Source organism: Homo sapiens, chromosome 17 (assembly GCF_000001405.40).
Source record: "Homo sapiens chromosome 17, GRCh38.p14 Primary Assembly".
Lineage (NCBI taxonomy): Eukaryota > Metazoa > Chordata > Mammalia > Primates > Hominidae > Homo > Homo sapiens.
Window position 1 is genome coordinate 56,282,079 of NC_000017.11, and position 26,411 is coordinate 56,308,489.

At 39.4% G+C, this 26,411-nt stretch overlaps 1 protein-coding gene across 13 annotated transcripts in view; it reads left to right on the forward strand.

Moving 5' to 3' along the window:
- The window catches only part of ANKFN1 (ankyrin repeat and fibronectin type III domain containing 1), a 470,940-nt gene that overhangs the window by 236,002 nt on the left and 208,527 nt on the right, over positions 1-26,411 (forward strand). Inside the window, exon 1 of one of the 13 annotated variants that reach the window (XM_017024267.2) lies at positions 2,539-2,654. The exons of the other annotated variants lie outside the window; for them this stretch is intronic. Within the exon in view, the coding sequence (XP_016879756.1) occupies positions 2,620-2,654 (35 nt within the window). The 5' untranslated portion in view covers positions 2,539-2,619. Of the gene's footprint in view, positions 1-2,538; positions 2,655-26,411 lie in introns of those variants that run through there. 13 annotated transcript variants of the gene reach the window in all.

The following is a 26,411-nucleotide window of genomic DNA, read 5'->3' on the forward strand; positions in this document are numbered from 1 at the left end:
AACCCAAATATTTATCAACAGATATAAGGATAAATAAATTTTGGTATATTCATACTCAGTAATATAAAGCAATAAACTACTAATACAAACAACAGCATGGATGAATTTCAAAAACATGTTGAGTGAAAGAAGCTAGACACAAAAGTATGCATACAGTATGAGTGCATTTATATAATAATAAAAATCAGAACAACAGGTGCCGTGTGTGTGTGTTTGTGTGTGTGTGTGTGTGTGTGTTGGAGGGAAGAGGGTGTGCAATAGACTAGACCTCTCTGGGGTGCTACAAATGTCCTATCTTGATTGGGGTGTGGGTTACATAGGTATATACATTTATCAAAACATTTGTTAAAACTCATCAGACTTAAAATTTGTATGTAAGCATACACCAAAAATTAAAATTTCAAAAACCATTTTTGTGAACTATAAAGTGTTATATAAGTACTATAAAGTGTTTTAATTTTTGAAGTCTCTCATGACAAAGATGAGTTTGAAATGATTGCAATAGTGAACTAATGCTAAACAATGACATAGCTCTGAGTTTCCAGTTTTCATCTGCATATTTGAAGTGATTACATCCAACAAAATGAGTTTATTTTATAACTTAGCAAATGAATGCAGCACCCTTTAACCCACTCTAACTAGGACTTTTTTTTTTGAAGGCCTGGTGCTAGGAGTGATCTGTATCTACCTGTACCTAAACTTTAAGCTTTGACAAAGTGTTGGCACATTCACTTTATTAACTGTTATTCTTGGCAATTTTAGTAAAGTACCTTTAAATTGAAGTTAAAAAAATAAAAGTATAAGAAATGTCATACTGGAAATCACATCCTTTTTTCCCCTTAGGTATGGTAGCAGATGGAAAGGAACTGCTACCCTATATGATTTTATTTTGTATTTTAACTTTTATTTTAGGTTCAGGGGTACATGTGCAGGTTTGCTACATAGGTAAAGTGCATGTCAAGGGAGTTTGGTGTATATATTATTTCATCACCCAGGTAATAAGCATGGTACTCAATAGGTAGTTTTTCAATCCTCTGCCTCCTCCCACTCTCCATCCTTAAGCATACATGTGTCCATGTGTACTCAGTGTTTAGCTCCCACTTATAAGTGAGAACATGCAGTATTTGGTTTTCTATTCCTCCCTCAATTCACTTAGTATAATGGTCTCCAGCTCCATCATGTTGCTGCAAAGGACATGATCTCGAGGGAATGTAAACTACTACAACCACTGTGGAAAACAGTGTAGAGATTCTTTAAAGAAGTGAAAGTAGAACTACCATTTGATCCAGCAATCCCACTGCTAGGTATTTACCCAGAGGAAAAGAAGTCATTATACGAAAAAGATAACTTGCACACATATGTTTATCGCTATAAACAATTTGCAATTGCAAAAATATGGAACCAGCCAAAATGCCCATCAATCAACAAATGGATAAAGAAACTGTGATATATATATATATGATGGAATACTACTCAGCCATAAAAAGGAATGAATTAATGGCATTCGCAGCAACCTGGATAGAACTGGAGAATATTATTCTGAGTGAAGTAGCTCAGGAATGGAAAACCAAACATCATATGTTCTCACTCATAAGTGTGAGCTAAGCTATGAGGATGCAAAGGCATAAGAATGATTCAATGGACTTGGGAGACCTCAGGGGAAAGGGTGGGAGGGGGGTGAGGGATAAAACTCTACAAATTGGGTTCCGTGTACACTGCTCAGGTGATGGGTGCACCAAAATCTCACAAATCACCACTGAAGAACTTACTCATGTAACCAAATACCACCAGTTCCCCCAAAAACCTATGGAAATAAATTAAAAAAAAATCTTATTCTTTTTTAACCACCACAACCCAATAACTTTAAAAATAGAAAATTATCTGATATTATTTACCACTTTCAAAAGACTGACTAGGTTATGGTTTGTGTGTTTCCTCACCTAGTAATAGACTTTCAGAGACACATCTGACTGATAAATTAAATGCTCTGTATGCTGGTATTTGATAAGAATTTCATAGAGATTTGGAAAATGTGTGTGTGTGTGCACACATGCTCACAGGCAAACACTCATGTTCATGTATGAGAGAAGAGATTGATTTTCCTTAAAGCCCACTATAGGCTCTGTCCTACTTTCATACAAACAACATACTCAAATTTCCTCTGGGAAATTTCTGTGGGAAAATTGGCTTGTAAAATTTCAGCAATAGACTTAATTGTTACAAATTTCATTCCTAGGATACTGAGAAGCATAAAATTTCCAATTGTAACTCACCTTTTAAAGTTGTCTTTAAAAGTATGAGATGAAAATACTCCTATGATATTTCCTTTTTTTTCTTTTTCTTCACAAGTAAACACATAGTCAATCTTCTTAAGTGTAAAATGTTTCCTATCAGGGCTAATGATTTCCAATTTATAGTGATTGAATTTCACTTAATCTAATAGAATCGCCCAGCATAGGAAAGCACAGCTCAAAACAATATGTGATGGAAACCATTAGAGTACAAAGCAGGGTGCTATGTGAGGTCAATAACATGTTGTGAAATTTTTGTTTCAGCTTTACATATGCAGTGTATGCATTTACTGAGTCATGGGCAGAAACATTTGAAGGCCACCGCACCATGCAATGGCACAAAATGTCCACTCCACAAAAGAGGTGAGAAAATTCAAATCTGGCATAAGAACAGGGGTTTAGGAGTGTCGACGTGTAGAAGTGCAAGAGGTCCAGGAACAAACAGGAAATTCCCAGTCAGCCCTAAAGAGAGGCTTCATTAGTTCATTGAGCACAGCCTTAGTGAGATGAGTAAAGAAGAGCAGGAAAATTCTCCCCAACTCCCCAGAGGAGAAACAATTGCCATAAGTGTCAGAAACATGTCAGAAAGAACCTAAATTACCTGGAATGAGCCATGTAAAATATATGGCACAAGTCAAGATCTTATTTCTTCTGTGACCTATAAATATTACAGTATTTTTTGATAGAAAGGAATCTTTGAGTACTTCGGTAAATCACCTCATGGAGAAATCTACAACTACAATGTCCTTGTAATCTGTTCCTCTCTCACAAAATTTTAATTGAACCACACCAATGTCATTTAGGGTGACAGCAGGGGTGCGGTTGGGGACTGTGTGTGGTCTTTGCCTTGCAGACAAACTCCTAGTCTCTAAAGAGTATGAGGCAGACACTGGACAAGCTCCTAAAGACTTATTCCCTGGAACTGCTGGGCTGGAGGTGGCATCCCATCCTTATGTATTTAAGAATCTAGAGCTACCAGCACCCTAGCCCAAGGTATCTTCCCTCTAGAACTTCCTTCTACTCCTTTTCTTATTTGCCTGCCTGCTCTCCATACATAATAAACTCCAGATGACTCCTTTATGCCTTTTTCCTCCTTATTCCACTTCTTGTTAAGGAGTTTCTCAAAAGAAAATGGATGTAGATGCAATTCACCCTCTCAGTTAAGACACTGCTCAGTGTTGGAGCAGTATAATGCTGACATGTTTTCCTTCTTAGCTTTTCTGTCATTAAAACTGGGCTCCTCTCTCCCCATGTATAACTCAACTCCTGCTTCTACCCACAGCTTGTGACTCCATAACTGTTGCAAACACAGACTTCCCTGCCCAGATAGTCCTCTTCCTCGGTTTCCTCCCAATAGTCCTCTTCCTCAATTCTCCAAATAGTCTAATTAGAAGAGATTCCTCTCCCTTTCCAAATAATCCTCTTCCTTGATTTCCCCCTCCTGTTGTTGGCCAGCCTGTCAGACAATGATGATGATGATGATGATGATGATGATGATGATGATCACCTCCTACTGATCTCCCCAGTGTTGACCTAGTCTTTGTAACATAAATTTTAGTTTACCCAGGACATCTCCATCTATACCTGTTGTCCCAGAGTCCCAGAGTGACTTTATTTTAATTATACCCCCTTTCACTTTCAAAAAAAATGTATAAAGCATCTCAGTGTGGAAAAGTTACCCTATCCAGTATCCTGCTCTGCCTGCTTGGTTAACTATTTTCTGGTGGTCTGCAGCTGGTCCATCCTTCAAGTCTATAATTCCAAATTGGCCTAGACTCAACATCTCTTACTCCCAGCATCATCTCAAACATTACGAATGGAAAGCTCCCCTGGCAGGATGAATCTTAGAGAAAACTATGATGTTATCCTGGAGTCTATCTGACCCTATTTTTAGTGTTTCCCTACATTAGGTATCTATTGCTGCATAACAAACCACTCTGAACTTAGTGATTTAAAACAACAATAGTCATTTATTATCCCTTATAGTTTCTGTGATTCAGGAATTCAGCTCAGACGTGCTGGGGATAGCTTGTCTCTGTTTCATGATGCCTGGGGCCTAAGGTGGAAGATTCAAAGGTTGAAGATATCAAATATCTGGAATAATCTGAAAATTCATTTGCTCACATGTCTGGAGGTTGATGCTGGCTGTCAGCTGAGGGCCTCATTGTGTCTGTTGCCTAGAACACACCCATACATGGCCTCTCCATGTGACTGGGGCTTCCTTACAACATGGCGGCAGGACTCCCAGGGCAAGTATGCTGAGCCAGGTGGAGTCTGTATCCTTTATATGACGTAGACTCACTTAACTCTCAAGTCACATAGCATGACTTCCACCATATTACATTGATCAAGGAAGTTGCAACCCACTGCCAAGATTCAAGAGCAAAGAACATTCGACTACTACCTTTACACTCCTTTTTGTAAGATGATCATATGATATGGCATCTATACATATATATGCACATGGAAACATACACATGTATGTATACATATATGTGTATATATGTATATATTTGGGAAATATAATCAGCCACCCCTTCCAAGAACTCTGCCAACCATAGGCAAAGGGTCACCATTCTTGTTACCCTCTTCTATCAAAATTTTCCTAGGATGAGTTCCCTGATATTGTGACCTGGGGGCGAGGCTTCTCTAATCAGAAATACTTTAATCCCTTATAGTTGTGAGGTGTGTTACAGTTGCAAGATCTTTGCATTTGGTCTTCACAACTCTGTGAAGCAGATAAGGCAGGCCTTATTCTCCCCATTTTACAGGTGAGAAAGGACATACCGAGAGGTAAATAATTTACTCAAAGTCGCAGAGCTGGGACTCAGTGCAGTCAGTGAGATGTGGCATCGGGTTTCTTTCCATTACCAACCAACCTCTACGAACGGAAAAGCAGCACAGTACTGTAGTCTGAGCCCAGACTTTGGATTGGACAAGCCTGGCTTTGAGTCCTGGTTCTACAGCATCATGGCTTTGGACAAAGAGCTTCACTTCCCTGACTTTCAGTTTTCTTATCCTTGGAATGAAGGCAATACAACCTACCTCATGCGTTTAGTTCCTGCCATTAGATTAAATGATATTCGTGAAGTGCATAGGACATTGCCTAACACACCTTTGACCCCCAAACAGCACCTAAGAAGTTAATTTTAATAATGGTGTGTGACCTAACAGCTGATACACTACATTTAGAGCCAGGCTTTCTTAAAAAGATCTTGAAGAAGTAAACGCTGATCTGGGCCACAACAAACAAAAGATATTCTGCATCTGGGTATAGGTGGGAACGATCCTCAAATCACATGGCAAGCCAATCATCTTAGATCTTTTTTCATAGCAAAATATTGTTCTTTTTCATAAGTTTGTAAATGAAACCTTAAAAAGGGCAACCAATTCTCAAACTCCTCTAAACAGACATTACTGAATGGGATATAGGCCAATATTAAATCTCCAGCTCAAAAGGCTGAATATAGAGGCTGCTGGGGTTGGGAGGTTTGCTTTGTTACACAGTGTGGGGATGGGTGCTACATAATGATCTTTGAGTGGGCCAAGCTTTGATGGCTGGGCAGAGCACAAGGTTAACACAATTGCCAGGCCTTCAGTAAGTTACCCTCAGATGCCATTTAAATGTAACTGTGTATGTATCCGTTTCTGTGATGGTGGACCCAGAGTCATTGAAAGGCCCTGCATTTTTTTTTTTAATTTTAAAATTCTTTAATCAATTTCCTAATTTTTCCACAATGCACAATTTCCATTTTAATTTTTCAAGGAATATATTCATACAGCACAAAAAATGAAAAAGATATACAGAAAAGTCTCTCTCCTATCCCTGCTTTTCCATGCACCCAATTTCACACCCAGAAAACTGTTATTAGTTTCCTGTGTAAGCTTTCAAAATTAATTCATGCATAAATAAGATGAGTTAAATATACATTATCTATTCCTCCCTTTATACAAAAGACAATATGTTTTTTACTTTGCTTTTGTTTTGTTTTGTTTTGTTTTTTTAGCTGAACAATATATCTTGAGAACTTCCCATAGGAGTATATATTTTCTTTTATCTGTTATGCTGGATTCTGCCACGTGAATGTCTCTTTATTTTTTTGTTTGCTTATTTAAATAATTATTTGTAACTTAATTATTCTTACAATCAGAAAAGATAAAAGTATATGTTGGAGACAATGATGATAGTAGCAGATCCCACACACCTCAATATGTAGTGTGATTCCACTATTTTGGAAATAGGCAAATATAAATAACTAAAACTTACCCTACAAGAGTCCACATAGACCAATAACCATGGAAAAATGCTAGGAAATAACAAATATATTTCTCTTATGGGCTAGCCCAGAGGAAGAGCCTTTAGAGTAGTAGACTCCCCAAAAAGGTCCGGTGTGCCTCCCCTCTACCACACCATGGTTTATGAAGTGACACCATCCTCTTTCCCTCCTCCCCATTTTGTTAATCTATTTCCTGGTCACACCCTACCTCTGACCTTCTTCTCCAGCTATACGTGCTCCTGGGTCATTGCTGCTGCTTCCATGAATTTAATTATCATCCACGGGTTAGCAAGACACACATTCTTGTCTCCAGTCCAGGTAGCTTCAGCACAATCACCCATGTGTGTGCACCGACAACCACACAGGTAGTGTCTGAGTCACCTAAGGAAAGAAACCCACTCAACCTCACCCAAGTGAAAAATGGGGGTTATGGAAGAATGCAGGGATGGAAAGGCCCTGCATTTTTCTCTCATTGTTTCAAGAAAATGTTCTTGAGTGTTCTACCCACAAAGGCAGTCTGATATTTGCCATTAATGAGAGGCAAGTGAAGGGGCTAAATTAATCAGTGCTTATAGTTCCTGAGAGTTATGCCATGAGGGTAGGGGAGAGCCTCACTTTAGAGTCCTAGAAGTTGCTTTGTAGACTCAGAAAGAGCTATTTTGCTGGTGTTCAGAAACAGTTTTCCATTTTTTTTCTGCCCATCACTTAGGTCTGACTAGAAGGCCTCTAATTCTGCTTCCAAGGCCAAAAGGACAGCAGATTCGCTCATAAGAAAACCCAAGGGATACTTAAAATTTACGAGCCAGTCCTCAGCTCCTTACCAGTGTGAAGTTCTCATTCACGTCAGCAGGAAGCTAGCCTACAGGGCAGGGCATCTCAATTGAGTTCTTTCTCTGCTTTGCTGGTTCAGAATCAAACTTGCCCTGTGGCTGCTTTAAGTGTTGATGTCTTGGCATCCAAAAGCAGGGAGACAGCTCCGTTTCTCCTGGCGCCTGGAGCCCATGCTTCAGGGCAGCTTACCCTCCTCCCTTCGGGATTGCTTTGGAATCCTCACTGTTTATAAAGGAAGCCCACATTGGCCCCGTTGTAATGTGTGGCACTCTTCACTCAATAGCAATGGGGAGTTCAAAACGTCTTAAGTGACCCTCCAGGGTAACCAAAATCCCAAATCCCTAATATGGAGTAACTGTTTCTGCCATAGTGCTGCCTTAAGGAGCTGAACAGCACTTTGTGTTTTCCAAAGCTCTTTCATATACTTGGTCTCCTGTGGTCTGGCAAGCCCTGTGAAAAAAAAGCAAGGCAGATATAGTTAGTCCCATTTCACAGATAAGAAAACTGAGATTCACACAGTTTAATCATGCTGCTAGTTAGTTGTAGGGCTGGGATGCAAACTCCCAGATCATTACATCTTTCACTGCCATGGCTGAGTATTTTACTTTCTCTTCCTTTCCACCCTTCTAATTTTCCTCTTTCCCTTTTCTCTCCAATTCTGTTTTCCTCTGCTCATTCCTTGCTCCCTTTTTACCTTCTTCCTCCTGCTCAATATGTTTCTCTTCATTCTCTTCAACTCTCTTGTTCTACAAAGGATTTCAGGCAGGACCAAGAACCCTCTAGAATTACAGCACCAACTTTACCGTTCACCCAGCAATTTAAACAGGAACTTAAATAACTCATAGGGAATCTCTTTGCTTTTCTGTGACTCATTTTCTCCAGCTATGAAATAAGAATATCATGTTTGTATTTACAAGAAAATAGAATTGTAAGGGTTCTTAAGCCAGAAGAGCCCAAGGAAATATTGATATAGGACCTACATGTAACCTATCTCTTTAGATCGAATCTATATATACCTTGATGTAGTGATTTAACCTTCTCTTAACATTCTGAATAATGTTAAACTGGCACATTTGAGTTGCAGCCAGGGCATTCTCCCCCACCATCCTTTCTACTTGGGGAAACATGCAAACTAAATATTTTAAGAGCCCAGTGAAGAGTTGAGTCTATTTGGTACTGTAAATAAGGATATCTCAGAAATTGAAAGTGAAAGTATTAAATTCTCTATTTGCAGTCCAGTTTAGGCAGGCAGATGGTAACTAATTTCATTAGCCACTGTACCATGCCTCTTAGTGACCCCTCTCATCTCAATTTTTATTGATTTGCAGATGTTTGAAAGAATATCTGATATCAAAATTACTCTTGGAACAGTGTCTGATCTCATTTCCTCCCCTCCTCTGAAAATTAACGACATGAAGACAAGCTTTCATGAGCACCTGTCTCCAGCCTCCAAGCCATGAGGGACTGGAATGCTTAGAGAACAATGACTTAATAAATGAGGATTTAAATAGTTCCATCCTAGAGAGGCAAAGAAAGGCAATATCTCAAAACCATGTCCCTCAACTCTTAAAAGTATTATTTCTAGTTTGAAAAGAAGAGTCTGGATCAGTCAGCCCCTTCTATCCTGACAAATGATCAGAATAGATAGACCCCTGTGGAAGCTGTCAGTAATTTCTGAGGGGGCAAAACATCTACAGGAGAATGTCACTGGATCATTTCAAAAATCTATGTGTATTTGATTCTAGGACTATGTCTCTTCAGAATCTTTTTTATATCTCCCTAAATTCCTTGTCTGGGATGGTATTTTAACTCATTATTGACTAAACATATGGGATTGTCTATTTTGAGTGGATTCACTCTTAGAAGACACTCTATGACTGGGAGATACCTGCTTACAATGACAAGTAATGTCCAAGTAGGGCAAATCAATCTGGGTCAAGCCTATGTCAATAGACATGTGCTACCCTACTGCACAGAACTGACCTTCTGATACCCAGATGTCTAATAGCCACACATTTAGGGGCCTTATGGTATTATTTATTTATTATGATGATGATTATGATTCATCCCAGCTAATTTAACTGGCTTCATTTAGCTGGGCTGACCTGAACACTGGCCAGCTGCCTATAACAGTGGCCTAGAGTAACCTTCACTTCTCTTGTGAACTTGGCCTGTAGTTCTTTGCTGCAGATGGCCTAGCCAACTAGGATGCTATTGGCTCTTCCTGTGGGCCATTCAGAAATTCTTCAGGGGTCCTTCTGAAGCAAGGAAGGGTGACAGCTTCTGACACATGGTTCAGGACATCTGTTGAGCTTCCGTAGCCTATTCGCTTATTTCTCTAAAGTATCTTTTTAGCACCAAATACTTGCCTCACAAATAAATTGTCAAATGACCCTAGTTTAACAAAGAACCAGGAATTAGTTAGCTTAGAGAGGAAGGTACTTAATCCACTAGGCTACATGTAATTCTCCTAAAGTTTATGACAAATTTTTATTATCTTTAGGGCTGCACCTTTCGTATCTCCCAAATACTGCTGCCAGTATTTTGTTCTTCATTTTAGTAGAGCATAGGAGAGCCAATCAGGTGGCATCTCAGAAGGAGGAGATTGGTGAGAATGTCTGTTACTAAGTAGTGGGCATCATTTGTGCCTCCCTCGTTTTCCTTTTCATGACTGGCATGGAAATCACAATGCCTTCCAAAGAGGCAGAGGCTGAGTCAGATTTTTGCTAGGACAAAGTAAAACTTGGTTTCCTGGGGAGTGTAGCCAAACTGACTCAGAGGTTAAGGATCTAACAATTGCAGCAGGAAAGTCAAATCAGATTTTAGTACTCTTAATCCTATATCATCTTAGGGCTGCCTTCCAGAAGCCAGAAGTGATGAGATCAAAAGAAAAATGCCATCTCCTCTTCAGAGAGTGTGGCTCTGAGAAGCTAAGGACCGTGCCTGGGGGAAATAAACTTGCTCTACCAAGAGTGTTCCAGAATCAAGAAGAAATCTCTTGGAAGAAATGGAATGTCCACTCTTTTCTTGTGTCTGTGTTGGGTCTCCAGGTGGTCCTACGAGGACAGAGGCACAGATGTCAGTATGCATTGCTCATTTCCTCCATATCTTTCTTTTCTCCAATACCAAACCAGAAAGCTTCTCTGTTAGCATCTGTAACCATTTCTAGTTAACATCCACATTCCCTTAAGCAACTGGGAAGTGAATCAAGCAAATGTAGCATCTCTAAGCAAAGCAGTTTGATTTAGGGGGAAAAAAAAACCACTGCCATCTCACCTGGTGAAAACTAGCATGCTAGAAAAGAGCACAGGATGAAGCCTGACTGCCTGGGCTGCTGAGTCAACAATAGGAAAAAGTTTCTCATGCTGAAAAAGCAACCATAGCCCTACTAAACAGTCATACTTTGCTCACCTGCCCATTATAATTACAATGTCTTTCCAGCTGAAATCTAATAACTATCACCAGTGAAGCATCTTTCCTTGCCTTGCATATTCATTCATTCATTTGTTCAGACAACATTTATTTCATGCCCATTTATATGCCAATGGTCATCAATTTTATGACTTCACTTATTCATTCAGAAATTACTCATTTTTGAACCCCTATAAATGGGCCAAGTACTGTCTTAGCTACTGGGTATATGAAGATATAGGAGACAAAGTCCATAACATTAAAAATTTATGGTCTAGTCAGTAATTCACATTTTATTCATTCATCTGGTCATTCATTCATTCATTTGCTTATTCATTTGACAGATCGTTGCTGAAGATCTACTGCATGCCAGGCACCATGTTAGGCACAGGGCCAAACATATTTATCCTAATCTTCTCCCCATCTTGTTTTGAATTCATTGTATCACACAAATGCCACCATCACCACCAAGCACAGAAGCAAAAACAAACCCAACAACTTTTCAGGTTTGGTGTGTGTTTATGTTTGTGGTCATTTTAAAGGGAGAGGAGGGTAGGCTTCAGATGGGTGAGTAAGGTTATTGAGTTATTCCAATGTATTCTTGCACATATGCACTGGTTTCGTGCAGGGTAAGATATTAGAAGGCAGATCCCAGATTCAGGACAGTACAAAGTGAACCTTTAAGTGTTGGTGACTGTGGGACAGTGGGATAAGCTGTCTCACAAAAGTGAGATGTGGTTGGAGGTCAGGTGATGACCCACGAAGGACAGCACAGAACAGATGCTACCCAGGAGACTTGTGACCCCAAATCGAAAGACTTTCTACTCTGAGATTTGATTGCCAAAACAGTCTCCCTGGCACATACTAAGTCTTCAATAAATATTCGCTACATGAATGACTAAGTATTAGGCCATTTGTTGGTCCTTGGCTCCTTGAGGGAGAGAGCTGGGCCCTAATTATCTCTTATAGTCCCAGCACCTCTGTCCCTTCTCCAGGGATCTAGGGAACAGATCTGGAATGCAGGCCCCCACAAGCTTTCTTCTTAATAACCTAGGCATAAACGTTTTCACCATGGGGTTTAGCCACCTGGCAGATTCTCTCCGCAAAGGAGGAATCCTTTAGGGGCATATTCAGTCATCTTTGTTAAATTTCGGGTTCTGTTTTCTTCCCTGATTAGCAAATTGTTGGTTCACCTCCATCACCGTGAGACCTTGTGTACTCAGGGAGCAAAAATTTGTTTTGCTATCAGCTAGAAGGGCAAAATAGCTATATAAAGAAACCAAATAATGCCTTCTCAAACCAAACACTAGACTTGGCTTCTGGTTTAGCTCTGTTTAGGGTTATCTGTGGCCCTGTTTCCCTCCAGTGGCTGGTAATCAAGAAGAGAATGCATGATTGCCCCTGGAAACCAAGTGATAGATCCACAGCACTATGGGCCAGGCACCACTGCCTGAAGAGAGGCTAGAGGCAGGGGAAGCCAGGAGCCGACTTCAAGATTCTTAGGCCACAGGCCACACCATAATTCAGGTCATTGGACTTTGCCAAGGAAGCTTATCAAAGAAGAAAACAGACTTACATTTTCTAGTTCTCTGCTTCTCTCTCAGACTGCAAGCCTTAGAAATTAGACTGGCTTTCTCCATCCTAAGCAGAGGGAGTAGAGGTTTGAGAATTTGATTGTTTGGTAATACAGAATGTGTAGCCTAGTGCAGCACTTAGGATGCCATTCTACTTTACCAGAATAGTTCAAGACACAAAGAATTGTTCAAACTGGAACAAGGGTCTGACCTGCTTGTTTGTGTCATTCAGGGACAGCCCAAGTCTGGCAGAAATAGCAGAAACTTTCTGCCACATAACTCAACCCATTAATTTAGATGAAACTATTACTAAATGCTAATTCTAAACTTTCTGTACTCTGTACACAAAGAAACTTCCAGAATCAATGCATACAGAACAAGGCTTGAGCCATTGAGTCCTGGAAGAACTTTCACAAGGCATTTTGATGGGCAAATATGGGAAGCAATCACCATTCTAGCAAGAGACCATGATCTTTCTGGCAGCAGGAGGAAAATCCAATTTCTGTGACAGCTACAGAAAATGACTGAGTTTGTTTGTGACCATCTCTGAAATTACGTCAGGTAACAAAGAAGCCAATATCTTTTCCCATTATTGACAAAGAGGAGACTGTGTTAAGCCAGCCTATTGGAAAACACTGGGTTTCCTCTGGCTTTTATCTGTAAATGACCACCGCTGGGAGTTAAGGGCTACAACTCTTCCTTGGGGAAACCCCATGTCATGATATGAAAGACTCGGTTTGAAGTGGGCCCAATTCTTGAGACGGTCATCCTTTCTAGTTGTATCACCACTCATTTCAGCAAAAAGGCAATGCAGTATGAATTCAAGGAAGAAAGGCAATTTCCTTTAAAATATTGTGGCAGAGTCTCCTTTCTCCAGAGTCAAGCCTTGGTATATCCTCTACTCCTATCATTCTCAAAGGTGATCCCAAGACCAGTAATACCTGTATCAGTATCACCTGGGAATCTTGAAGAGCAGCAGCTGCTTGGGTCTCACCCAAGACTCTTGAAGCAGATACTCTGGGATGGGGCCCAGCAGTTTTTAACAATCCCTCCAGATGATTCCAATGCACACTGATACATGAAAACCACTATTCTACTCTTCATTAAGAAATCTGGGTTCCACCATGATATTAAAAAAAGCCGTGTGTGGGCGGTGTGTGTGTGTGTGTTCAGTTACTGTCTTAGTCAGTTTTGTGCTGCTATAACAGAATACCACAGATTGGTTAATTTATATTAAACAGGAATTTTTTCTCACAGTTCTAGAGGCTGGGAAGTACAAGATCAAGGCACGAGCTTCTGGCAAGGGCCATCTTGCAGAATGCACCACATGGTGGAAGGGGAAAGAGAGAATGAGAGAGAGAAGAGGGGGGCCAAACTCATCCTTTATAATGAACCTACTCCTGAGATAATAGCATTAAGCCATTCATGAGGGTGGAGGCCTCATGGGCCAACTTTCTCTTAAAGGTCCCACCACTTAACACTGTTGCACTGGGGATTAATTTTCCAACACATACTTTTTGGGGGGCACATTCAAACCACTATGGATACACATGTATTAAATATATAAAAGTATGGATGTATATGTACTAAATTATGGATTTTTTAAATTCAGGTTTTTTTTTCAAATTAAGGTAGTAGCTTCTATTATTGAAACCTCTTGCTGTTTGATGTGATAACTCTAAGTCCCTTCCACACTAACCTGCACATGTTCCCTGTGATCTGAGTACGGAGGTGAGGGGGCAGGGTGTGAACCAGCAACCTAAGAAATCAGAGAACATTCTATTGACTAATTTAAACTAGATTATTAAGAATCTACTCTACCATTTAAGATTCTCCAAAAAAAAGTGAAACATTTGGCCTTTGGCATTTAAATGAGTCTGATGAACAGAAGATTAAATACTAGATATCTTTGTAAAAGAAGCTGATTAAAAAGGCTGTGGGTCAGGCGAGGTGGCTCACACCTATAATTCTAGCACTTTGGGAGGCCGAGGCAGGCAGATTACCTGAGGTCAGGAGTTTGAGACCAGCCTGGCCAACATGGTGAAACCCCATCTCTACTTAAAATACAAAAATTAGCCACATGTGGTGGCGCATGCCTGTAGTCCCAGCTACTTCGGAGGCTGAGGCAGGAGAATCACTTGAACCCAGGAGTCGGAGGTTGCAGTGGGCTGAGATCACACCACTGCACTCCAGCCTGGGCGACAGAGTAAGACTCCGTCTCAAAAAACAAACAAACAAACAACAACAACAACAACAACAAAACGGCTGTGAAGCGCATGAGCTTTGGAGTCAGACAGACTTAAGTCCACTGCTGAGTGTCATTGGTCAAGTGGTTTAGCCTCTGTGGTCCTCTTTCTACATTGGTAATATGGGAAAAGTAATAGTGCTGAACTCCCAGGGCTCATATGAGGATTAAATTAGATAATACCCACACATAGCATGCTTGGTAAATATCACTGTTCAAGCAACACTTGGTCTCCTTGTTACTGTTATTTTACTGGGTTCACCCATGGTGAATAGTACCAGAGTGTCCAAAGAATCCTTCCTGTGAAATGTAGATTCATTGGATCTCTTTGGAATTTTTCTTCAGGGACAGTGTGAGACAATGAATGAGAAAGAGAGTCACTGATTTTGGTGAACTTTTGGGGAAAGGTAATGGATGAGAAGAAAGGCACAGGCCATGGGGTAAGGGTGGAGGTTGCTTCGGATCATTGGCCTCTGAAGCTCTGTGGTGGCTGCAGTTTTCCTTTCTCCTTATTGTTACGGCGTCTGGGCAGAGAGGAGCTTCGGAGCCAGACCTCTGAGGCTGTGTGTGGTGAGCCTGCAGGGGCTGGCAGTCGCTAAGGGCGGAAACCACTGTTTGGGAGCTGCTGGCGGTTTAACTGTTTCTGTTGCTCATTGCTGAGGATGAGAAAAGGGCAGGAGGGTGAGAGCAATCTACTCGTGATTCTGTTTGTGGTGAGTCTGCTCACCAAGAGCTTCAAAGGTCTCTTTGGAACCAAAGGTTTATCAAGCAGCTTCCAGAACAAGATTTTCAGCTGGTTGAACTTCAAAACAACAGCCTCTGAGATTCATTTTGATAATCTCCTTCAAAAGAACCACCTGGTCCATTGTAGAAGTCACTGGTAGCAACCTCATGGGAGATGCAGCTTTCCTCAGCTTACGAGGTCCTTGCTGCACACCTAAAATTATTTAATCAGGAACCTTCCTATTGATGGTGTGAGTGTTGTGATCTGATCCTCTAAAATGCAAAATAACCATAAGAAGTCTCCTAGTGCCTCACAACCTTAGGTGTGCTTCTGTCTCAAGGCTAGAGTTATATCTCAGTCATCTTAGAATTATTTTGGTAAAGAAATATGAAACCTCCAATTAATGAGTATAGAAAAACTGTACAACACTGGGGAGTGGTTAATAAATCATGTAATAAAACATTTTGCAACCATTAGAAAATATACTTTTATGTAATTTTAATGGCTTGGGGGGAAATGCTCCTACGGCAATATACAGAGAAAACAGCAAGAACCAAGACCTTGTAGAGCAGTGGATCTCAGAGTGCGGTCCATGGACTAGAAGCAGCAGCATCTGGAAACTTGGAAACTTGGTAAAAATGCCAATTCTCAGGCCCTACCTTGGAACTACTAAGTCAGAGACTCCAAGGGTGAGCAATTGCGTGTTTTAATAGCCAAGTGAATTGATGTGTGTTAAATTTTGAAAGCAATTGATATAGAGCCCAAATCAATGGAAAATACATACATATGGAAGAAAATGCACCAAAAGATATAGTAGTTCTCTCTATTATAGAATTATGGATGATTTTTGCTTTTTCCTGTTTATCTTTTGTGAGATTTTTTCTGTATATTCTACTTTTTAAAAAATGAGTATATTTTGCTTTTATATTTAGATAAAAAAGTCAAAATAATAGTTATCATGTATTTCTGCTACACATGTGTCATGTCAACTCATACCATATTAAGATTGTCTTGAAGATTTATTCATGCATCTTCAGTGTTTTTCAATTTCTTTTTCTTACAAATCAACTTCCCTGTATTTTCCTTGATGAATTTTCTCAGCTTCGCTGCTTATTTACTGACTTTCCCACCCCCAAGTCTTAAAGCCCCCTGCTATTATTTATAAACAACATTTTCATCAAAGATCTCTATGCTTTGTTTGTCAGAAACAAGCAAATAGTTGTTTTTTCCTTAAGCACAATATTTCTTTATATATATAGAGAGAGAGAGATTAATATATTTTCATCCATTAGTAACAATTTTAAGTTTTGCATATATTTTCACACACAATGTACAGTTTCTTTGAATTTATCTGTTTTTGGCTACATCTTCTCAAAGCATTTTTAACAACTTGACCCTTCTAATTTCAAGAGTTCATTTACAAAGTAAGCAGATATAGTGGATCTGCATTTATACAGGAGAGTTAAGTTCTAAAATCAGAAGATACAGCCAATATCACATATGATCACATTTACCCCATCTCAGTGATACCAGCTTAGACTGGAACAGTCTTGGAATAGACTTCATCTGAGTCCCAGCCAACAAGGCAAGAGGCTATGTTGTGCAAAAACGTACACCTTTAATCACTTTAGCACTGTGAGATGCTCACACCACAAGAGAGTCTCAGTCAGAACCCAAATGAGGAAATAACAGATTCCTTCTATCTTATACTCATTTTCTGGGCAATAGCAGATGAAATTGCCTGAGCTATTTAAATTACTCTGGAGGATTTGTTTTTTGTTGTGGTGGCTGATAGTACAGAAGTGCATTTGCCTGGGTCAAAGCTGCATGTGGTGAGGTCTCCCCGCATCTCTCCAATACCTTCCAGTGTTCCCTGGGCTTCTCTCTTTAATATCCTCTCCCCCACCCTTGGATAGTCTCCCCAGCAGGAAGGACTCTGACCCCTCTCCTGGTTTTCAGGTTGTACCCATCCTTTAAAATTCTTTGCAAAAGCTTCCTCCTACATAAAGCCTCCCCAATCTTAGCAGAAAGTAATCCCTGTACATTCTGAATGTCTTTGGGATATTTATGCCTCTTTATTATATTTACATTTGAATACGACTTAGCTTGCCCAGGGGACTCCCAAGGTTCTACAAGGCAGCATCCAGGTGTCTCTAACATCAATCTGGGCTTTGAATCACAGATCTGTTCTTTCTGGCCAATCTTAGGAAAACTATCAAATTCCTCTATGTCTCCCTCCTCATCTGTAGAATGGAGATAGTTGTAGCAGAGACCCCTGAGAGTTGCAGTGAGCATTAAATGAGATACTACATGTAAAGGGGCTAGCACAATAGCTGGCACATGGTAAACCCCAATAAGAGCTAGCAGTTTTTATTTCTATTCTCCATTGTGATTCAAATAGTACATTTGGACTCCATAAGCATTTGTTCGTTGGCTAAATGAATGAATGAATGAATGCTATTAGTTAAATTTATACACACCCCTCTGAATTCTCAATGCTCAACAAAAAGTTTATACTTGTCATCTGTCTACAAATTCACCACAGAACTTAATGAACCAAGGATGTTCTGTACTTAAGGCAAGTGCGAGGTGCATATGGTAAATTTTCTGTCTTGAGAAATCTGCCACCAGTTCTCTAGTTTAGACCTCATGGAGCTCCGTGTTTTCACCCATGAAATGTGAATTATAACGCTGATCTCTGACTCTGCCTGGGTACAAGGAAAACCTGAAGAAGACTAGGCCTTTAGGGAGAAATCTTATAAACAGGGAATGCTTAGGGTAATTTGAAGAATCAGAGCATGAGTTTGTAAATTAGCACATTTCAGTTACAGAGGTTCCAATCACACAGGACTCTAGATGTCGCTCGATGAGGGCACAGGGCAAAACCAGCTGCTTTTTGGGTTTGTCAAGCATCTCAAGTTATTTCTCAGGAGTTGGGGTTTGGCAAAGCCTGAAATCCACGTTGCCAAGTCCTTCTTTCCCCCCTTAATTTTTAAGCCCATGTGTATTTTAAGGGAAATTTAATCCACATGTTTCTGTTTCCTTTACACTTAACTCATAAAAATGGTTTGTCAGAGCAATTTGATGTCCCAGAAATCTTTGGAGCCTTTATAATGATATTTTTTAGCCTTTCCTCTCTCCCTTAGACACAGGAAATTGTTTTTTTTTTTTTTTTAAAGAAAACGAATTGAACTGAAAGTCTCAAAGTCAGTAGTGATGGGTCAGACAGACAAGCTCAAGGAGCAATGCATTTGAGAAAATGTCATCTTTCACTGCTGCTCCTAAGGTTGATAGGAAGATAGATTCCACACTTAGGCAGATGTCAATCATTGGCAATGTGCTGTGATGGAGTCCTCAGATATTTGATTGGTTGCCCACCAGCCTGAGAGTCTTTCTCCTATTTGTGCTTCTGTACTGAGAGATCTGTTCCATGTTGCTTAGAATTTGGGTCCCTCCACCTTAATCAAATCCTGAAGTTCAGCATTAGAAACTCATGCATACAAGTAGTCTAAGAGAACTGTAGCCACTAATTCCAAAACATAGTAACTGTTTTGTAGGATAGCTTTCCACATCGTCCCTAGAGAGAAAACACAGAATTTGGCATGCTTGTATTAGTAGCCATAGGCAATGTTCTCACAAAGCTTGGTGAAGATGACATTCCTCCAAAGTTAGTGAGTTTCCTGTCACTGAAAGGATTCACACAATGTCCCAGATATCCACAGTGCAGGCAGAAATGTCCCATGTATTTGTACCACCTCTCAGCCATAAGAGGGGATATCTGGAGTTGTTTGACCTGCATCAGCTCCACGTTGTTAGCCATGTCACCTCTTCCACCCTCAGCTGGCATTCATCTTTATTTGTCTCCTTCCTGGCAACATGCTCACCGCCAGATTGGGCTGAATCTTTCTGGACACTAAGGGTCACAGAGTCTTACATTGTGTGACATGTAATAGTTTGGAACTAATCAACCATAATGGCTTGGTTTAATCTGAAATGCTCTAAAATCATCTGGCTGGCTTATCTCAACCCATTTTCACTACACAGCATCAGAACTCTGTAGTGCAATGGCCCAAGCTAAGGCTTTCTCTGCCCCAGGGGCCAAAAGCTAGGGGAACACTTGTCTCCCAAAACAAAGCTGCAAATAAGAGATCCAATCAAAGAACGTCCTGGTGGCTTCTACACCTAGCCCCATTTAGCTGGATTTACTGAATGATGAAGACACAGAGCTTTGAAGGGCTTCTCTCCATCACTAAATTAGCTTATAATAGAGATAGAATGGTGAAACTCTGAACCTGAATGGCTGAATGAAGAATAATTGATAAGCATGTCTGTAGAACATGAACACCGAACCAGGGTACTGAGACTGCATATGACATTGACTTTGGATCTTGGAAGAGAATAGAAAACAACTGACAGGAAGTAGCCAGTCTTAGAAATTCAGTGAGTCTACAGGGCCAGGTGGATATCAAGGTTTTACATGATTAAGATGTTGTAGGCAAGTGCAATGATCAGAAATCTACCACTCTTCAACAGTCTTGGCAATTGAAAAAGGAATTCCTTGGCAGGAATTTACTTTATAGATTAACCACTTTAAGCCTGGTCCTGGATCATATATTACCTTACTGAATCTACAGAACTTTATGGTAAGTATCATTCTCCCTATTTTACAGATGAGGAAACTGGGGCTCCTAAAATTACTTACTGGGGAGACCAAGTAACTTGTCCAAATTTGCGTAGTTAAAAAAACTTGTCCAAATTTGTGTAATCTTCTGGAATTCAAACACAAGTCTGTTAACCTCCAAAGCCTGTACTCTTTCTTTAAAAGAAAAATGCCGGTAATCCCGTTCCTTGGGGAGCCTGAGGCAGGAGGATCACTTGAGACCAGGAGTTTGAGACCAGTCTGGGCAACATAGCACGACCTCATCTCTACAAAAAATTAAAAACTTAGCCAGGCATGGTGGCAGTCCCAGTTAATCATGAGGCTGAGGTGGGAGGATTGCTTGAGCCCAGGAGTTTAAAGCTGCAGTGAGCCATAATCACATCACTGCACTCCAGCCTGGACAACAGAGTGAGACCTAGCCTCTACAAAAAAAAAAAAAAAAGAGAGAGAGAGTGAGAGAAAAGAAGAAAGAAAAAAGAAAAACGTATTTGTCTAATTACAACAAAAGTTCTTGATATTAATAGAAACCCATTCAAACTTAAAGAGATAGAGAACAGAGTTAAAAGTTAAAGTTCTTCATAATCCTACCCCCACAAGATAACCATGTTAATAAGACAGAGTATATATTTCTATATTTTCTACGCATAGGCTACCAAACCAAGAGACATACATATAAATTTTTTACACAAAAATGAGAACTGTTCTAGAACTTGCTTTTTAAAATTCTTCTTGAATATCTTTCTGTGTCAAGTAATACATACCTACCAGATCCCTTTAAATAGCTGCATGGTATTCTATTCTAAGAATTGTCATGGTTTAAAGTCCATTAAATAGTTTGACTGATTTCAACTTTTGGTGACTAGAGGCACTACTGTAATGAAATGTATGCTGCCTGTTTATATGTTATTGCACATTTAGTGATGGATAATTATAGGATAATATGTAACTCATGCTCTGTCTACTACACAAGGGCACTTCCTTTGGCTTCCACCAAGGGATGTTGTTGATTTCTCAGTAAGTTGGATACCAAATTTTCAGACAAGTAATTTTATCTTTCTTTTGGACTTCATCCCTAGGGAATCTAAAAGCCAACAATTCCATTAGACTTGAGGTAAAATCAACACAGTCCAACTCTGAGGCAGTACAGTTAGCAGAGTCATGAAAGTGTCCTTTTATTTATTATTACATTCAATAAATACCTATTGATTTGTTGGTGTTGGGGATGAGGGTACAGGCGTGTGCAAAGTGCTGCACTGGATCCTGGTTAAACAGTGGTAAATCTGGTAGCATACCTCTAGGCCACTGGAGTAAATAGTATGTACAAAATTCATCTGCTGCTCAACACCAAATTGTTGCCATCCAAGCTGACGAAGCCATAATATCACCAGAACCACTCTACAATGCTCACTTTAGTTTTTATGCCAAGGAACCACTAATGGGAGGTATGTTAAAGGAGGTTAAACCAGACTATTGAAGCAGGCTATTTTCACAGTGGATCAACTTTTTAATTAAGCTTCTTATTTTGAGATAACTGTAGCTCTACACACATGCTGTTGAGAAAAATAATAGACGGAGATTCCATGTGCTCTTTTTTTAATTATTATTTTTTTTGAGATGGAGTCTCACTCTGTCAGCCAGGCTGGAGTGCAGTGGCACAATCTCAGCTCACTGCGACCTCCACCTCCCGGGTTCAAGTGATTCTCCTGCCTCAGCCTCCCGAGTAGCTGGGATTACAGGTGCACACCACCACGCTGAGCCAATTTTTTTTTTTTTTTTTTGTAATTTTAGTAGAGACAGGGTTTCACCATTTTGGCCAGGATGGTCTCGATCTCCTGACCTCGTGATCCGTCCACCTTGGCCTCCCAAAGTGCTGGGATTACAGGCGTGAGCCACCATACCTGGCCAGATTCCATGTACTCTTTACCCAGGTTCTTCTAGTGGTAACATCTTCCATCCAATGATAACAGTACCACAACCAGAATATTGATATTGTCAAGAAACAGAACATTCCCATCACAACAAAAATCCTTTAACTTGCCATTTTATGATCACACCCACTTCCCTCCTGCCCCTACCCCCTCCTTAACTCCTGACAACCACTAATCTGTTCTCTATTTCTATAATTTTACATTTCAAAAATGTTATATAGATGGAATAATATAGTATGTAACGTTTTAATGTTGGCTTTTTTCACTCAGGATAACTCATCAGGGTGGTTATGTGTATCGAAATTTTGTTCTTGTTTATTGCTAGGTAATATTCTATGGAATTGATGTAAATAACAGTTTATTTTAACCATCTGTTGAAGGACAACTGAGTTGTTTTCAGTTTTGGCTAATATGAATAAGGCTTTAATAAACATTTGTGTACAGATTTTTGTGCAAACCAAAGTCCTTATTTCTCTGGGATAAATGCCTAGTAGTGCAGTTGCTGGAATATATGTTAATTACATGCTTAGTTTTAAAAAAAATCTCCCAAACTGTTTTCCAGAATGGTTGTACAATTTCACATTCTTACTCAATGTATGAGTGATCCAGTTTCTTCACAAACTCACCAACATTTGGTGTTTTCTTTTTTTTTTATTTTAGTTATTCTGATAGGTTTAATGTGATTGTGGTTCAATTTGCATTCCCCTAATGGCTAATGATATTGAATATAATTTCACATACTTATTCAATGGCTAATGGTGTTGAGTATAATTTTACACATTTATTTAAAATGCTTGTTGCATTTTTGCCATCTATAAAACCTCTTCAGTGAAATATCTCTTCATGTCTTTTGGCCATTTCCGCATTGGAATATTTGGTTTTTATTCTTGAGGTTTGAAAAGTCATTATATATTCTAGATACTTGTTCTTTGTCAGATGTATGGTGTATTAGTCCATCCTTAGCCTGCTGTAAGGACATACCTGAGACTAGGTAATTTATAAAAGAAAGAAGTTTAATTGACTCATAGTTCTGCAGGGCTTGGGAGGCCTCAGGAAACTCACAATCATGGCAAAAGGGGAAGCAAACACATCCTTCTTCACATGGCAGCACCAAGAAGTGCCAAGCAAAAGAGGGAAAAGCCCCTTATGAAACCATCAGATCTTGTGAGAACTCACTCACTATCATGAGAACAACCTGAGGGTAACCACCCCCATGATTAAATTACCTCCCACTGGCTCCCTCCCATGACACATGGTGATTATGAGAACTACAATTCAAGATGAAATTTGAGTGGAGGCACAGCCAAACCATATCGTATGGCTTGAAAATATTTTTTCTCACTCTGCAGCTTTTCTTATGGTGTTGAATATAATTTCACATATTTATTTCAAATGCTGATTTCATTTTTGCCATCTATGTATCCTCTTCAGTGAAATATCTCTTCATGTCTTTTGCCCATTTTCTCATTGGCATATTTGGTTTTTATGGTTGAGTTTTGAGAAATCTTTATATATTCTAGACACTTGTTCTTTGTCAGAGGTATGCCTTGAAAATATTTTTGCTCACTCTGTAGCTTGTCTTTTTAGCTGCTGAACAGGATCTTTCACAAAAAGTAAGTTCATGTTGTTAAAGTCCAATTTGTCATTTTTTAATGTTATGGATGTGCTTTTGGTGCCAAGTTTTAAAACTCTTCCTAGTACTAGACCCTGAAGATATTTTTCTATGTTTTTTCTACAAGTGGTATCATTTTACATTTTATATTTAAATTTGTAGTCCATCTTGAATTAAATTTCATATATAAGATGTGAGGCTTAAGTTGAGGGTTGTTTTTTTGGTTTGGTGTTTTTTGCCTCTGGATGTTCACTTGCACCAGCATCATTTGTTACGGTACTACCTTTTCTATGTTGGATAATTTTTGCACCTTTGTCAGAACTCAGTTGGCTTATTAGTATGGGTTAGTTTCTGGATTCTCTGTTCTGTTTCATTAATCTATATGTCTATCTCTCTGCCAACATCAGACAGTCTTGATTACTATAGATACACAGTAACTCTTGAAATTGAGTAACCTTATTCCTCCCAATTTATTTTTGTCTTTCAAAATTGTTTTAGCTATTCTGGTTCGTTTGCCTTTTCAACTGTATTTTAGAAAAATCTTTTCCATACCTAAAAAACGTCTTGCTGAGAGTTTAAGAAGAATTGTATTAAATGTATATGCTAACTTGGGGAGAATGGACATCTTTACTATGTTGAATCTTCTAATCCATGAACACAGTATGTCGTTCTATTTATTAAGATCTTGATTTTTTTCCACTAGCATTTTGTAGTTTTCAGCATACAAGTCCTGTATGTGTTTTGTTAGATTTACATTTAAGATTTATGTGCAAAAATCACAAGCATTCTTATACACCAATAACAGACAAACAGAGAGCCAAATCATGAGTGAACTCCCACTCGCAATTGCTTCAAAGAGAATAAAATACCTAGGAATACAACTTACAAGGGACGTGAAGGACCTCTTCAAGGAGAACTACAAACCACTGCTCAGTGAAATAAAAGACGATATGAACAAATGGAAGAACATTCCATGCTCATGGGTAGAAAGAATCAATATCGTGAAAATGGCCATACTGCCCAAGGTAATTTATAGATTCAATGCCATCTCCACCAAGCTACCAATGACTTTCTTCACAGAATTGGAAAAAACTGCCTTAAAGTTCATATGGAACCAAAAAAGAGCCCACATTGCCAAGTCAATCCTAAGCCAAAAGAACAAAGCTGGAGGCATCATGCTACCTGACTTCAAACTATACTACAAGGCTACAGTAACCAAAACAGCATGGTACTGGTACCAAAACAGAGATACAGACCAATGGAACAGAACAGAGGCCTCAGAAATAATGCCGCATATCTACAACCATCTGATCTTTGACAAACCTGACAAAAACAAGAAATGGGGAAACGATTCCCTATTTAATAAATGGTGCTGGGAAAACTGGCTAGCCATATGTAGAAAGCTGAAACTGGATCCCTTCCTTACACCTTATACAAAAATTAATTCAAGATGGATTAAAGACTAAATGTTAGACCTAAAACCATAAAAACCCTAGAAGAAAACCTAGGCAATACCATTCAGGACATAGGCATGGGCAAGGACTTCATGTCTAAAACACCAAAAGCAATGGCAACAAAAGCCAAAATTGACAAATGGGATCTAATTAAACTGAGGAACTTCTGCACAGCAAAAGAAACTACCATCAGAGTGAACAGGCAACCTACAGAATGGGAGAAAATTTTTGCAATCTGCTCATCTGACAAAGGGCTAATATCCAGAATCTACAATGAACTCCAACACATTTACAAGAAAAAAACAAACAACCCCATCAAAAAGTGGGCGAAGGATGTGAACAGACACTTCTCAAAAGAAGACATTTATGCAGCCAAAAGACACATGAGAAAATGCTCATCATCACTGGCCATCAGAGAAATGCAAATCAAAACCACAATGAGATACCATCTCACACCAGTTAGAATGGCGATCATTAAAAAGTCAGTAAACAACAGGTGCTGGAGAGGATGTGGAGAAATAGGAACACTTTTACACTGTTGGTGGGACTGTAAACTAGTTCAACCATTGTGGAAGTCAGTGTGGCGATTCCTCGGGGATCTAGAACTAGAAATGCCATTTGACCCAGCCATCCCATTACTGGGTATATACCCAAAGGATTATGAATCATGCTACTATAAAGACACATGCACACGTATGTTTATTGCAGCACTATTCACAATAGCAAAGACTTGGAACCAACCCAAATGTCCAACAATGATAGACTGGATTAAGAAAATGTGGCACATATACACCATGGAATACTGTGCAGCCATAAAAAATGATGAGTTCATGTCCTTTATAGGGACATGGATGAAGCTGGAATCCATCATTCTCAGCAAACTATCGCAAGGACAAAAAACCAAACATGAAGAGAACCGCATGTTCTCACTCATAGGTGGGAATTGAACAATGAGAACACATGGACGCAGGAAGGGGAACATCACACACCGGGGCCTGTTGTGGGATCGGGGGAGTGGGGAGGGATAGCATTTGGAGATATACCTAATGTTAAATGACGAGTTACTGGGTGCAGCACACCAACATAGCACATGTATACATATGTAACTAACATGCACGTTGTGCACATGTACCCTACAACTTAAAGTATAATAAAAAAAAAAAAGAAGTTAAAGCATAAAAAAATAAACATGGGAGTGCAAAAAAAAGATTTTAATTTTTTTGAGCAATTGTAAATGGTATTGCACTTTTAACTTGCATCCATGTAGTCATTACTAGTATACATAAATACAATTGATTTTTGTATGTTCATCTCGTATCTTGTGACCTTGCTGAACTCATTTATTAGTTCTAGTGGTCTTTTTGTAGATTTGTTGGGATTTTCTACAGACAATAATTTCATCTG